The 13775-nt window shown below is 45.1% G+C and overlaps 1 protein-coding gene and 1 pseudogene across 51 annotated transcripts in view; one reads left to right on the top strand and one right to left on the bottom strand.

Annotated features, from left to right (window-relative positions):
* The window catches only part of NRXN3 (neurexin 3), a 1697919-nt gene that overhangs the window by 1621402 nt on the left and 62742 nt on the right, over positions 1–13775 (bottom strand). For all 51 annotated transcript variants that reach the window (NR_158973.1, NR_158975.1, NR_158974.1 and 48 more), the window contains exon 2: positions 3088–4499. Coding sequence is in view for 45 of the 51 variants with exons in the window: in XM_011537363.2 (XP_011535665.1) it covers positions 3088–3796 (709 nt within the window). In the remaining 6 variants the exon portion in view is untranslated. The remainder of the gene's footprint in view (positions 1–3087; positions 4500–13775) is intronic.
* On the top strand, positions 12323–12395 carry TRSUP-CTA3-1 (tRNA suppressor (anticodon CTA) 3-1; annotated as a pseudogene).

The raw sequence follows: 13775 nt of genomic DNA, 5'->3' as shown, positions 1-13775 counted from the left end.
GACATGGACAATTTAGCAGAGGTTGGGTGGGGAGAATGGATGCATTTCTCTCTACCCACTTCACCACATTATCTTTGGAAAAATGGGCAGACATTATCTTGTTTTGTGTAGATCTATTTGACACTTAGCAGCTGCTGTGATTTCCTTTCCCTTCACATTTTACAGGTGACTTTTTCTGCTTACTTTCTAAAAATTAACTATGTGTGGAGGCAACGGTTATTTTCTAATAGTCTGTGATGCATTTTTGTGATTGATTAGACTTGATGACAATTACCAGGATCAACAGGCTCCAAGTAATCAACAGTAGATTCTGTTACCTCCCGCAACATCCTCTCTCACCTCAACCTTTGCACTGCTCTGTTCCAAGCCAGCCAAGTGTTACTGTTACGGCAGTTTATTTACTCTATTTATGTATGGGGAGAATAAATGAGTTAGGATGTGTGTTTGCCTTCTACAGATAGGGGTATCAATCCGTAGCCAGGAGATGATCTGAACCTTGTAGGAAAAAAAAACAATTATTAAAATATACATATTGCATTTAGCTATTAAAAAACCAATGGCACACAATCTGCTCTGAAGAAATTCCACTGGGAGCTGGAACACACACAAAATATAAAAAGAAAAAGAAGAGAAAAGCAAATTGTATACATATACAGTATAGAGATTTTTTTTCCTGCGGAAAAGTGCTGATCCAAACCTGCCCCAAGGAAATGAGTTCTTTTTAAACACAAAAATGCAATCAGGGATAATCAGCAAGCTAACAACACACTTGCAAACACCCTGGTCCCTAGAAAGGAAGAATGCCAGCTTTCAATACAAGTTTTGAGAACAGAACAGATCCTTTGGGCGAATGAGAAAACAAGTGATCATGTCAGCGTCTTCAGGCAGAACTTTCTCCAAAGCCAAGAAGCTCTGGAACAGCAGTCAGCTCCAGAAGGCACCTGCTTGTGAGAAGCACTTCAATAACCACATTCCCAAAATGGTTTGTAGACTGGGGTTGCCTCTTCCCCACCCCTTCTCCCAGTGGGTTCAGTGGAGGAAAAACAGAAGCCAAATAAGGACGATATATATGCCTGGCATCTCCAGCTCTGACAGCCCACCCACAGGAAGGGAGAAAGTTGTGATGCCCAACCCATTAGAAGAAAGGAGTGGAGACCCAGGCAGCTCCTGCAATAGCCCATGCATGACAAGACCTCTGATATGTTCCAGTCTCCAGCAGGTACCACCTGGGAAATAAATTTTGTTTTAATTTTTTTAAATATTCTTAAATAGCCACTGATAGCTAAGGTTCACATCAAGCACAACCTGCTTTAGGGGTTGGGATGTTCTGGAAACACTTAAGGAACACCTGCAGTCTTTAATTACACATCCCAATAGCAGGGCCTTATCTGAATGAAGAGATCTTGGGAATCGGTGGCAAGGCACTCACCTGGCCACACCCACCTGGCACCACCCACCTGGCACCAGCCATCTGGCCTCCCTTGATCTTGTACTAGTTAGTCCTTAACCTTGATTGTGCACAGGAATTATGTGGAGAGCTTTAAAAACATACAAATGCTTGGATCCCATGCCAAGAGATTCTGATTTAATTAGCCTGGGGTGTGGTCTGGAGTTTAAATTCCCCCAAGACAATCTTAACATGCAGCTAAATTGAGAACCACTGTTCTGCCCTATACCTTACACCACCTCCACGAAGAGACCAGTAGGGGATGGCAACATAAAACCCGTCTAAGAGAAACCAGGGCTTAATCCTAAAAGGATAGAAGGAAATGTGACTTCCTTGCCTCCTGTCACCCTAACCTCTCAACATACATACCTGTATGGTTGGTTCTCAGCTTCTCATGTCAGCAGTTCCTGCTACCCAAATCTAAGCCGTGAGTAAGTCCAGGAATTTGGATTTTAAGTATTTGTCAAGTTAAAGTTTGAGCCACCTCTCTTAGATCTAACCCCAAACAGTCAGATTTGGTGAGCAAGGGAGGGCAACCTAAGCCTCTGTGCCTCCCTGCTTCTCCCTGGGAAGTCACGGTTGAACCTGGGAGGTTCTCCAGGCTATGCTGTATACTCTCAGCTCCCTTGGAGGCTTGGCTGAACAACACTGCAGTCAATCTCTGTGCCTCTTTGCAATGTTCTCAGTACATGGAGAGGATGGGAAAGGGAACCACATCTAAAGAGGTACCTCATGTGAGAAATCCTCATTGCCAAAAACAAAAAGGTAAGAAGGGCCTGGCGCAGATGCCTCATCCACCTTCTAGACACCTCCCAGAGGGTTGGGAGGTGGGGTGGGCCCCAATAGAAGAACTGGGTTCATTTTTCTTTGCACAGGCATTCTTTATGTGAGGGATGATTAAGAGGAAGTGATGGGGAGTTTCCCAGCTATCCCTAAGGGTCCAAACCTCAAGGGCTCAGGAGAGACACAGGTAGAAATTTGCCAATTTCTTTTCTTTTTTTTTTTTTTCTTTTTTGAGACAGTCTCACTCTGTCACCCAGGCTGGAGTGCAGTGGTGCATTCTCAGCTCACTGCAACCTCCACCTCCCAGGTTAGAGCGATTATCCTGCCTCAGCCTTGCGAGTAGCTGTGACTACAGGCGTGCGCCACCATGCCCAGCTAATTTTTGTATTTTTAGTAGAGACAGGGTTTCATCATGTTGGCCAGGCTGGTCTCCAACTCCTGACCTCAAGTGATCTGCCCGCTTCGGCCTCCCAAAGTGCTAGGATTACAGGTGTGAGCCACCTTGCCTAGCCGAAATTCCCAATTTCTATCTGATTTCTTGCCCTGGGTTGACTGTGATAAACGGTGCTGCAGTGAGAGGGGCCAAGCTGGGGCAGACCCTGCAGCCTACTTCATCTAACCCTCTGAGTAGGGTACAGAGCCCAGGGTTCAGGGGTCAGGATTCTACTCCTGCTGAGATCTGACAGATTCTCCATTAAGAGTAGGCAAAGGATTTCCACTGCCTCCTTAGGGCAAGGGGCCCAGTGATCTAACATGCAGCTAAAGATATGCATCCATATAGAACTGGTTTGTATCAGGAGCCCCAGCCTCAGCCATCCCGTGGGTGGGTCTCTAGCAAGAGAGGGAGAGGGTCTTACCTTCTGAGCAGAGCTTGCCACCATAGCCAGTGGTAGAACAGTCACAGGTGGGGTGGCCGTCCAGGAGAAAGCAGATCCCACCATTTTCACAGGGACGCTCACCACAGGGTCCCTCGGCATCCATCTGGACACCCCGGCTCCCCAGAAGCCGAGGCTCCGAGTTTCCATACTTGAGATCCAGAATTAACCCCTTGAAGCCGGGCATGGCCTGAACTCCATCAAGGGTCAGGGCAGAAGGTCGTATGTCAGTAGGGACTCCACCAAGGAACAAGTCACTGACCACATCCATGTAGGGCCGCTGGGGCTGCAGCTCCCCAGACTGGCCCTCGCCATCAAGCATCAGCACCGTGCGCAGGCGGTCACGGCTCACCATGAGGAAGTGCCAGCTGCTGTCATTCACCTGCTTGTTGGACAGCACGGCAGTCTCGGCACAGTCCATGCTGAAGCGGAGCTGAACGCGGCCATCCACCAGGGAGAGGCATAGGAAGTCGCAGACGCCGCCATCATCCAGGTAGAGGAGCAGCCCCGTAGAGACGTTGGTCTTGAACTGGAAACTCAGGTCACTGCGTGTGCTGGCATCCCAGCGGAGGTAGCGGGCCCACTGGTTGGGGAGGCCCATGAACTCAAGGCCCAGGCAGAGCCCCAGCAGGGACCCCAGCAGGATGCTGACCTTCAGGGTGAAGAAAACCGAGTGGAGTGTGGAGCTCATTGTCGCTGCTGGGACAGAGCCCGGAGGAGCAGACAGGCCAGGGAACAGCCCGGAGAGGATCTCTCCCTTTGGCAATAGAAGTGGGAAAGACAAGACAGAGATGGGGGGACAGAAAGCACACAGGAGGAAGGCAGCACACACACAGATCCTGAGATAGTGGAGATGGAGGAAAGTGTACAAGAGAGTCCCAGAGGGGCACACAAGCAAGAAATTGAATAAAGAGGCAGTAGAAAAAGACAGGACCAGCAGAAGAGGAGGAAAATCAGGTGGGGAAGTGAGGGACTGGAGTAAAGAGGAAAGCGTCTTTCTCCAAGAAAAGATCTCAGCTATCCATGTGGATCCGGAGGCCTTGACTCAAGGAGGAGAAGGTGCAGGAGAGTAGGAAGAAGCCTTCAGCGATGCACTCCTCCCAGCGGACCCCCAAATGCCCCAGCCAGGGAGGCCAGGGACAGGGAGGGCCGGGGTGCTGTGATGGAGGAGGAGTGAGTGGTGAGGTGAGCCAGGTGACAGGTAGAAACAGGCCAAGGACCACTCCTAAAGTTCTACCTCCTAGCAGCGGCAGGCTGTGGGGAGGGGGGCAGCTAGAAGCCCAATGCTCAGACAGAGCAGGGCCCTGGGCAGAGCGCAAGCAGACTCAGGCTTCATGGTGCGGCCAGAAGCAGTGCTGCCCATAACTTGCCTCCCAGGACTCCAGAGAAAAGACCTGTGGGAAGAGGGGGAGGGAGAAGGAGAGGAAGATTAGGACCATATATCAGGAAAACATTGCATCCTATTTCACAAGTATTGATGGAATGCTGACTTCGAGCCAAGCTATTCTAGTGATTGCTACAGTGCTTAGTGCTTCAAACAGGAGGGAGGCCGTGGGTTCTTCCAGAGCCACTACAAGACGACCAGGTCCTAATGATGCACTCAGGTTTTCCATATGTAAAAATAATAAAAATCCCCAAAGCCATATCAGCACATTATTAGAATATTCACATCACAAGGTCACATTGTCAAAGTGTATTTTTAAGATAAGTGCTAACATTTTATATATTCAAATACCCACACCTAATTTTTACTTATTTACCTATTAAAAGCTTGCAAATGACATTAACTTTTTTCTAGATTTTTCCTTTTCAATTTGACAACTCACTGTAGGAAGCCTAAGGCAAATTGCTACCCCTAAATTTGTGAAAGAAATGTTTATAAAAATCAGTGAAAATAAACTGGAAGGTGAGTAATGAGTAAAATAATCCTCCTCTCTTACTGAATATTAAGAGAGGAGGATTATTTTATTCCTTCTAAAAAAAAAAGGCTGAGTTTGAATCCTAGCTCCTGTATGTGGCACTTTGAGAAAATTTCTTAACCTATTTGAGCTTCTATTTCCTCATTTGTAAAGTAGAGAAAATAATAGCCTCTTCCCAAGATTGAAGAGAGGAATCAATGAAATCAGGTATAGGAAGATCCTAGCATAAGCCTTTTTTTTTTTTTCGAGACAGAGTCTTGCTCTTTTGCCCAGGCTAGAATGCAGTGGCGTGAGCTCGGCTCACTGCAACCTCCACCTCTTGGGTTCAAGCAATTCTCCTGCCTCAGCCTCCCAAGTAGCTGGGATTACAGGCATGTACCACCATGCACAGCTAATTTTTGTATTTTTAGTAGAGACGGAGTTTCATCATGTTGCCCAGGCTGGTCTCAAACTTCTGATCTCCCCATCTAGGCCTCCCAAAGTGCTGGGATTACAGGCATGAGCCACAGCTGCTGGCCACATGAGGCTTTATACATAGGAGGTGACAACAAATCCTAGGTCTCTTCCTTTATCTCTGAAGTGGGAAGGGACAGGAGGAGGGGTTATTTGTGTATGTCTGTGTATGTGTGGATGTATGTATGGCTATAGAGTGAGCAATGTGTAAAAACAAAAGTACTGAAAAAGATTATGAAAACTGCAGAATGGATGACAACTGAATAGTTAAGAAATTCCTAGAGTGACACTGGATAGTTCCAAATGACCTAGAGTATATTACATATATTTTATGATGATGTAGAAACAGTTAGAAATGCACCAGCACGCAGTCTGGTTTCTGAGGGCAGACTCTGGCCCGCCTGAGTTCTCTGTTCAGATCAAACAGTGAGTGTGATTTCTAGGAGCTGTGCAAGTTGCTGCTTATTACCTGGCACATTTGATAATTCACCATGGGCTCCATCAGAACATTACTATCCCCTATTTTAATGATAACCACATCAGCAAAGCTAGTTATTACCCCTTCTTTGAAGAGGAAGCTGCTGTTCCTTAACCAGGAACAAACACCTATTCCCAATGAACAAACAAACCCAACGAACAAGGGGCTGATTAAATCCATTATAAGGAAAGGCTTTGTTCTATAAAAGGCTTTGTCCAAGCAATGTTCCCTAAAGTGTGGCACAGGTGCTGTGCCAAACTTCCATAGACTCCGATAAGGAAGGTACCAGGTTCAAGAGGCAGAAGAATAATCCCAGAGCTGACAAATGAGAAATGGGTTTTAACGGGGAGCTTACATCCAGAGGAGAGAGTCCAGTGGTGGTGAGCTGGGTAGGAGAGCTGCAACTGCTTGCAAAAGGCATGCAGTTTACACAGCATATTTACTTAGCACCCTCCCCATAACAGTCCCTATCTGGCAACCTTCATTTACCCTAAAACAAAGGGCCTTGATCCCCTGTATAGCCCATGTTCCATGGGACCAGCCAGGGGCTTATATGTTCCTCATAGAGAAGGAATGAATCTCCTGGTTGGCCACTCCCAGGTTCCCTAGCGTAGGACACACACATTCAAGTGCATCTGCCATGCAGGGTCATTCTCAGGGTATGCTCAAGTTATTGTTATCAAGTGCTTTTACCATACACACAGGTACCCCCAGTGGTTCAAGGGATGCTCAGCTGAGACATGGACACAGGAGTATGCTGGTGCCAACTCATACAGGCTTGTGAGAGCCAACTGCTAAAATTTCAAAAACTTTGACTGGTTGGCATGACTTTGGTAGCATGAAATAAACAGGCAAGGAGTATTTACACCCCAGAAAAAAGGCAAACACCACAAAGAGTATTTGAGAAGGTGAAATTTAAGTAAAGACTTGAGGCTATGCACGGTGGCTTGCGCCTGTAATCCCAGCACTTTGGGAGGCCGAGGTGGGTGGATCACCTGAGGTCAGGAGTTCAAGACCAGTCTGGCCAATGTGGCGAAACCCCATCTCTACTAAAAATACAAAAATTAGTCCCAGTGGCAGGCGACTGTGATCCCAGCTACTCGAGAGGCTGAGGCAGGGAGAATTGCTGGAACCTGGGATGCAGAGTTTGCAGTGAGCCAAGATCGTGCCACTGTACTCCATCCACTTGTTCCAACAGAACAAGACTCTGTCTCAAAAAAAAAGAAAGAAAGAAAAGAAAAGACTTGAAAGAGTGTGAGGGAATCAGCCATGTAAGTATCTGGGAAGAATGTTCCAGAAATAATAGTCAATGTAAAAGAACTGAGGCTGGAGCAAGCTGGTATACTTGAAGAACAGCAGGAGGTAGGTGCTGTTGGAGCGGAGTGAGTGGAAGACATGAAGCCGGACATGGATAACAGGAGGGTAGGACATGAAACGTGACACAATTTCTAAGAATATGATTCCTTGTATGAGGTGAGGTATGCCAACCAAGTCAAAGGGCAACATCTCAAAGGAAAGAGAAAACCCTTCAATTCAACTGTTTATTGAGCTCCAATTCATTCCAGGCACTACTGGATCAAAGCAAAATAAAGACACCAATCTCACCCTCCAGGGCATCACAAACTAGTGGGGGACAAGTTTACTTCAGAGACAGTAAAGCACGGCAATTAAGAGCCCAGGCTCTGGAACCAGATTGCTGATGGGGGGCTCCCTGGAGGCAATGACTGCTTCAACACGGTGTCTGCCACAGGGCCTCGTCATGGAGCTGGAGTTTGGGAAGCACTTGTAGATAGAATGAACAGTAAAAGCAGAAGTGGAAGAATGTTCCTGTGGATTATTTGACTTCTGTTCCATGCAGTGGCCTCCACACAACCCCACTTTACACAAGGACATCAATCCTGAACCCCCATGCCTCTCTGGATGCCAACCTCACATGACCCCAATGAGCAAAGCAGCACATGCTTAGTGACCTGAGGAAACCCATGAATGAAAAACTCTGCTGCCCAGAAACATTCCCTTGTGGGGGAAGATCATGGGCACTTAGCCTGCTTTGTCGGGGCCACACACCCCTTCCAGGCTGAGCCTCCCCATTCCTTCAGTCCCTCATCCTTCCCCTCCAGCCCAGACCAGCACTGGGGGATACCACCATTCCCTGCCCTGCATTGTGGGGGATCAAAAAGGCTGACTGAGGAAACCCAAGCTTTCTTTCCCACAGGCAGAATCCAGTTTCAGAAGTGATAACATCACAAGTGGGCTTATGTAGACTTAACCCTCTATGGTCTATCCACATTCTTTCCTACAGCCCTTCCTTTTCATTCCTAGTTTTGGACATTCCTGCAGCCTCTGGGAAATTGCCAAAATGGCCAAAAGCTAGAGATGCCCTTACACTAAATATCGCAGGCCTCCAACTGCTGCCAGCGTTTATCCTTCAGCCTTCTTTGCCCCTCTGGTGGGGCATGCTAGACTCAAGAAATGGCAAAACGGGAGCCAGGGAGCCCTCTTCACCTGGCCAGACAACTGCCACCCTCTACTGAACCATAGGAGAACGCAGGCAGCCACGCACACAGGTGGTTTGCCCCAGAGCCTGCATGCAGGGCCCGGGCTGGTGCAGAAGCTCAGAACACTTCTCTGTTGTGTGGGAATCAAGCGAGAGAGGGAAAGTGAGTGACATTATCTAATTGTCAGCTAATTTACATAATTATCGAACGGCACACTTTTTATGTGGGGTTAACATCTTTGCAAATGTCTCATAAGCCGGCTGCTTAGGAGGGGGCAGGGTGGTGTGGTGGGGGGGGCTCACACAACTCTGACATGTGGGCTATTTGCCACAAGGTGTGGCTCAGAAGATCTGGCTGCCATTTGCCCTCCCCACCCCTCCTTCCAATTTCATTCCTCCCTTTTCCAACTGCCTGGAGCTTTAGCTGAGCTTGAGACAGACTCAAGGAAGTCGGACTGTCTACAAGTGGGTTTGATTTAGGAAGTCACGATGATGACTGTCCTTGTGCCCAGCCTTTGCGGGCATCCCACAGTCCCCAGGTGGGGCTTACCAGGTTTTCTTCCAGAAGCTTCCTATGACCTGCCCTCACCAGGACTGGAAAATCTCTCCAGTGGCTCTCTGGTGGTTTTGCCCCATGTTCACTGCTCCCCTCACCCCACTTTGCAGGTAAATGATTTTCACCACCAATCTCGTTCTGTGTCATTCAAGGTGAGGTTCATCCCAATCCCAAATCATATGATCCAGTTTAGTCAACTGGGACATTCCAATCTCTTGGCCACAGTGATTAGTTTCAAGATGGGTCTCTCACCCAGACTTGAAGTTGAATTTGAGTTAATGCCGGGACTTTCACTGGAATTATCGTGAAAAGGATCCCCTCTCTCTTCTTACCACATCAACAAATTATTAGAGTGAAGCTCAAACTTGACAGACACCATCATTACTGGTGGAGTATGATCCATCTCCACCATTGGAGAGGATTTTGTCTAATAATGAAAACAACAAGGAAGAAATCAGAGCCAAGAAATAGATACAAACAGATTTCTAGTGGTGTTAACACCTAGATCTAGCCAGACCTAAAGCCCAATGAATCCTGTGACTTCCATTTCATGAACCAAAACTTTTTTTCCTTTAGCAAGTTTGAGTTGGGTTGTGACCAAGAGTCCTGACTCATACACTCCTAATACTGGACCATAAAAAACTGTTGTCACTGACAAACTAGCAGAAGCTTCCATCTCATATGGCCACCTACACCCAGAACTCCCTGTAACCTGAGCCTCATGTCTTACCCACCTTTGCCATCAATGCTCTCCACACCCATTTGCCCATGCACTTGAACAAAGGCATAGGATATGGGCTTGTTTCTCTTCTTGTGTGTTTTGCAGGTGGACAGAGGCTTGTTCTTATACAAGAACCTCAGAAATGTGCTCCCTCAATTAAACTGTACCCCTCCAGACACCACACCATTAGGGCAAGCTCACATAGTCAGCACTATCTATCTTAATACAACAGCAAAGGCTCTACTGCATGTAGTGAGGGAGGTTAAGGCATGAATTCTCTCAAAGATATAAAAGTAGTTCAGGCTAGTGAGAGAGAACATGGGCTTTGGAGGCAGGCACAGCTGAATTTAAACCCAGACTCTCATTCCTATAGCTATTTAACCTTGGGCAACTCTCTTGAGTCTTTCTTCATCAAAAAAAAGGGGGGGGGGAATAATACCTATCTCATAGGGCAGTTTTGAACTTCATGAAATTTAAAAATTTATAAAAATGTAACTACTTTTGGAAAATTATGCTGGCAGTATCTACTAAAGCTGAACATTTTTACCCCAGGACTCCACAATTACCCTTTTAGGTATACACGAACAGAAATGCTTACAAATGTCCAACTGAAAATATGCATGAGAATGTTCATGGCAACACTATTCATAATAGACAAAACCTAGAAAATCACCCAATGTCTACCTGCAGTAGAGTGGATAAATTGTAGTCTATTCATGCAAAATACTATACAGCTTTGAGAATGATTGCTCTTCATCTCGACAGAAGCGTGGATGAATCTCACATACATAATATTGAGCAAAGTAAGACACATACTGTATGTGCTTCATTTATGTAAACCGAAAAGAGGCAAAATTATTTATTCTATGCTGTTAAATGTCAGAATAGTGGTTAATGATTAGAAGAAGGCAAAGGGGTGAAGGAATCCTGTTTCTTGATCTGGGTGATTCTGCGTAATGTGTTCAGTTTGTGAAAATGCAACAAGGGAGCTGTATACTTACAATGTATGTGCTTTTCTCTATGTATGCTATATTTCAATAAAAGCAACTTAATGCACTTCCTGATACATATATATGTTAATCTATTATTTTTGTTATGTCACTTGAAGAAGGGTTTTAAAGAAAATTATTACTAGTTCCTGTTTTGTAGGCTGGAACTTCCTTCTTACAGTTCCCCAAGTCAAAACCAACCTCTCTTCTAGAAAACTAAGGGCAAATATCCACCATGCTTTGCAATAGGAAGCTCACTGTCCTCTCTTTTGAGCCCACTCTATACCCTAGTCCTCTCTCCCATAATTTGGTCATGTCTAGGAATACCACCCTTCTTGCATCTTCTCTTCTTTTCCTGAAATCTGCGGAGCTGATCCTAGTCTTAGTCACCAAGCCTTACCCTTTAGGAAAAAGAAGGGGAAACAGCCTCCAAGGACCTTAATTCTGTTCTTAACAAATGGACACATAGAAAAGAGCATTTGAAGTTTATATTGTGCTGAAAGCGGAATGGAGATGGGGAGAGACAGGAAGAGACTTTTTTTTTAACCTTTAACTATAACACTTTTTTTTTTTTTTACTAAAAACTAAGTTTTCCCAAGAACTAAGAAGTCATGTCAGGCTAACCTAAATTCCTTTTCTGTCAAGAATACTGATCTGTTATGGTAGAGATACACATGAGTTATATATGGACTTCAGCAGATCTTCTCATGATATGAGAACTGTGAGGCAGACAGACCAAGAAGACTGGTCACTGGCTAAAGAACAGCATTCAAAGAAGGCGCAAACCCATTAGGACACAGGCTCTTGTGGGAGGTCAGGCCTGATCTCATCTTTCATGTTTATCAAGAGCCCCAGTGAAGATGGAGAGAGCCAAATAATCATGTGTGTAGATGAACTGACACTGAGAGTTATGAGTGTGCCAGGTGAGGCTGAAGGGACTCCAAGAGATCATGATAGGCTAAAACTACAGCCTATATCTAATAAGACAAAATTTGATGGAGATAAATGGAAAGGAATGCAACTTGATCCTCCAATATAAACAACCCATAAGGATGGAAGGTACAATTTGTAACTATATAGTAAACAAGAATTGAGAAATTAAATTGACAAAAAGACACACACACACACACACACATATATATATACACATATATATATATATATATATATATATATAAAAGCATTTGTGGCTGCCAGATAATCAAATGTAATTTTAGACTATGTTAATTGAAATATAACTTATAGGAAGAAAGAGATCATCATCTGTGTCAATCTGACCAGTCACTGAATTTTTATTCTGAGTCATACTCTGAGAAAGGTGTAGGTAAGCTGAAAGATAGTGAATGAAAAGAAAGTTTTTCATTTATTTTGTTTAACCATGGAGCACCCATGTTCCAGACATACAGATAAATAAATAAAAATAGCTCAAGCCCTGAAAGGCACTTATATGTTAGTAGAAAGGAAAGACATGAGCCTAAATAATATAAGGAGGTGGACCAAATGTGAGAAGCAGACTCTGCCAAGTGTGGGCTTGATATGGTGATGGTTAGCCTCTAGGGTCCAAAGTAGAAGACTGGTGCTAGGATGAGTGCCCCTCTCATGCAGGCGGGATAATGTAGTGGTTAAAGGCATGGGCTCTAGAGCCAGACTTCCTGGGTTCAAATCTCAGACCTGCTACTTGATGCCTATGTGACCTTGAGCCCATCACTTATCCACTCCATGCCTCCGTTGTCTTCTCTGTGAAACAGATGATAACAATGAATTATCATACGTAGGCACTTAGTACAAGTGAAAGCCCTTAGGACAATGCTCAGCACAGATAAGTACCAAATAAATGTTATCTACTGTTGCTGTCCACTGTTGTCCTTGATGCTTATTATTTCATGCTAGCAGCATGGCTAATGTTGGTGTCTCATGGGATGTATTAGTCCATTCTCAAGCTGCTAATAGAGACATACCTGAGACTGGGTAATTTATAAAGGAAAGAAGTTTAATGGACTCATGGCTGGAGAAGCCTCACAATCATGGCAGAAGATGAAAGAAGAGCAAAGGGACATCTTACATTGGGGCAGGCAAGAGAAACCTTGTGCAGGGGAACTCCTCTTTATAAAACCATCATATCTCATGAGACCTACTCACTATCAGGAGAACAGCTTGGGAAAGATCTGCCCCCATGATTCAATTACTTTCCACTAGGTCCCTCCCATGACATGTGGGAATTATGGGAGCTACAATTCAAGATGAGATTTGGGTGGGGACACAGCTAAGCCATATCACAGGGACTGCTTAGGGAGAATAGGCTGGGTAGATGGACTTCTTTAAATTTCATTCCAGTGTCACAGACAATGTGGAGAGTCATACATGAGTCTCTATAGGAGAAATTTTTGGAGGTGTCAGGGTGTTTGGGCTAACACAGGCAATGCAGCAGTGGCAGGAGCAGTGTCCACAGGAGTAGGAAGCATTCTTTTTTTTTTTTTTTTTTTGAAGCATACTTAAATTGGAAAAAAGATCCCACGGTTTCTCTATTGCCCTCCAGGATAGAATTTTGTCTAGTGAACGGAAGTTCTACAGAGAGTATTTATGTCTTTATCTTAGAAGCAGATTACCTCCAAATGAAGCAGGCTCCCTGTTACTGGGGATGACCCAGAAGAGACTGGACATCTTTAGGGGTTCTATGTCCAGTACTAAGTAGGTCTATACATGGAATACAATACAATCCAGAGGAACAAGATGACTCAGGGCTGGTGCGGTCAGAGGTTTCTCAGAGGAGAGGAACCTGCAAGGAAACTTGAAGGACAAGTAGGGCATAAGCAACTGCGGAAGAGAAATCTGATGTCAGGGAAAGACCACTAGATTGGAAGTCAGAACCAGACTGTCTTTTCACTAACTATTGGCCAAGCAACCATATGGATACCTCTGGATCTATTCAATTTTTTATTCTTCTCCTATAAATTGGGAAGAACAATGAATACACCTTCCAGGATGTGCACATCAAAGACTACACAAAGGACAGAAATAATCATGCCCTCTTACCATGCCTTGACAATCTTCTAAGGT

The sequence above is a fragment of the Homo sapiens genome, chromosome 14 (genome assembly GCF_000001405.40).
Source record: "Homo sapiens chromosome 14, GRCh38.p14 Primary Assembly".
NCBI classification, from domain to species: domain Eukaryota; kingdom Metazoa; phylum Chordata; class Mammalia; order Primates; family Hominidae; genus Homo; species Homo sapiens.
This window is presented reverse-complemented; position numbering and strand designations above follow the sequence as displayed.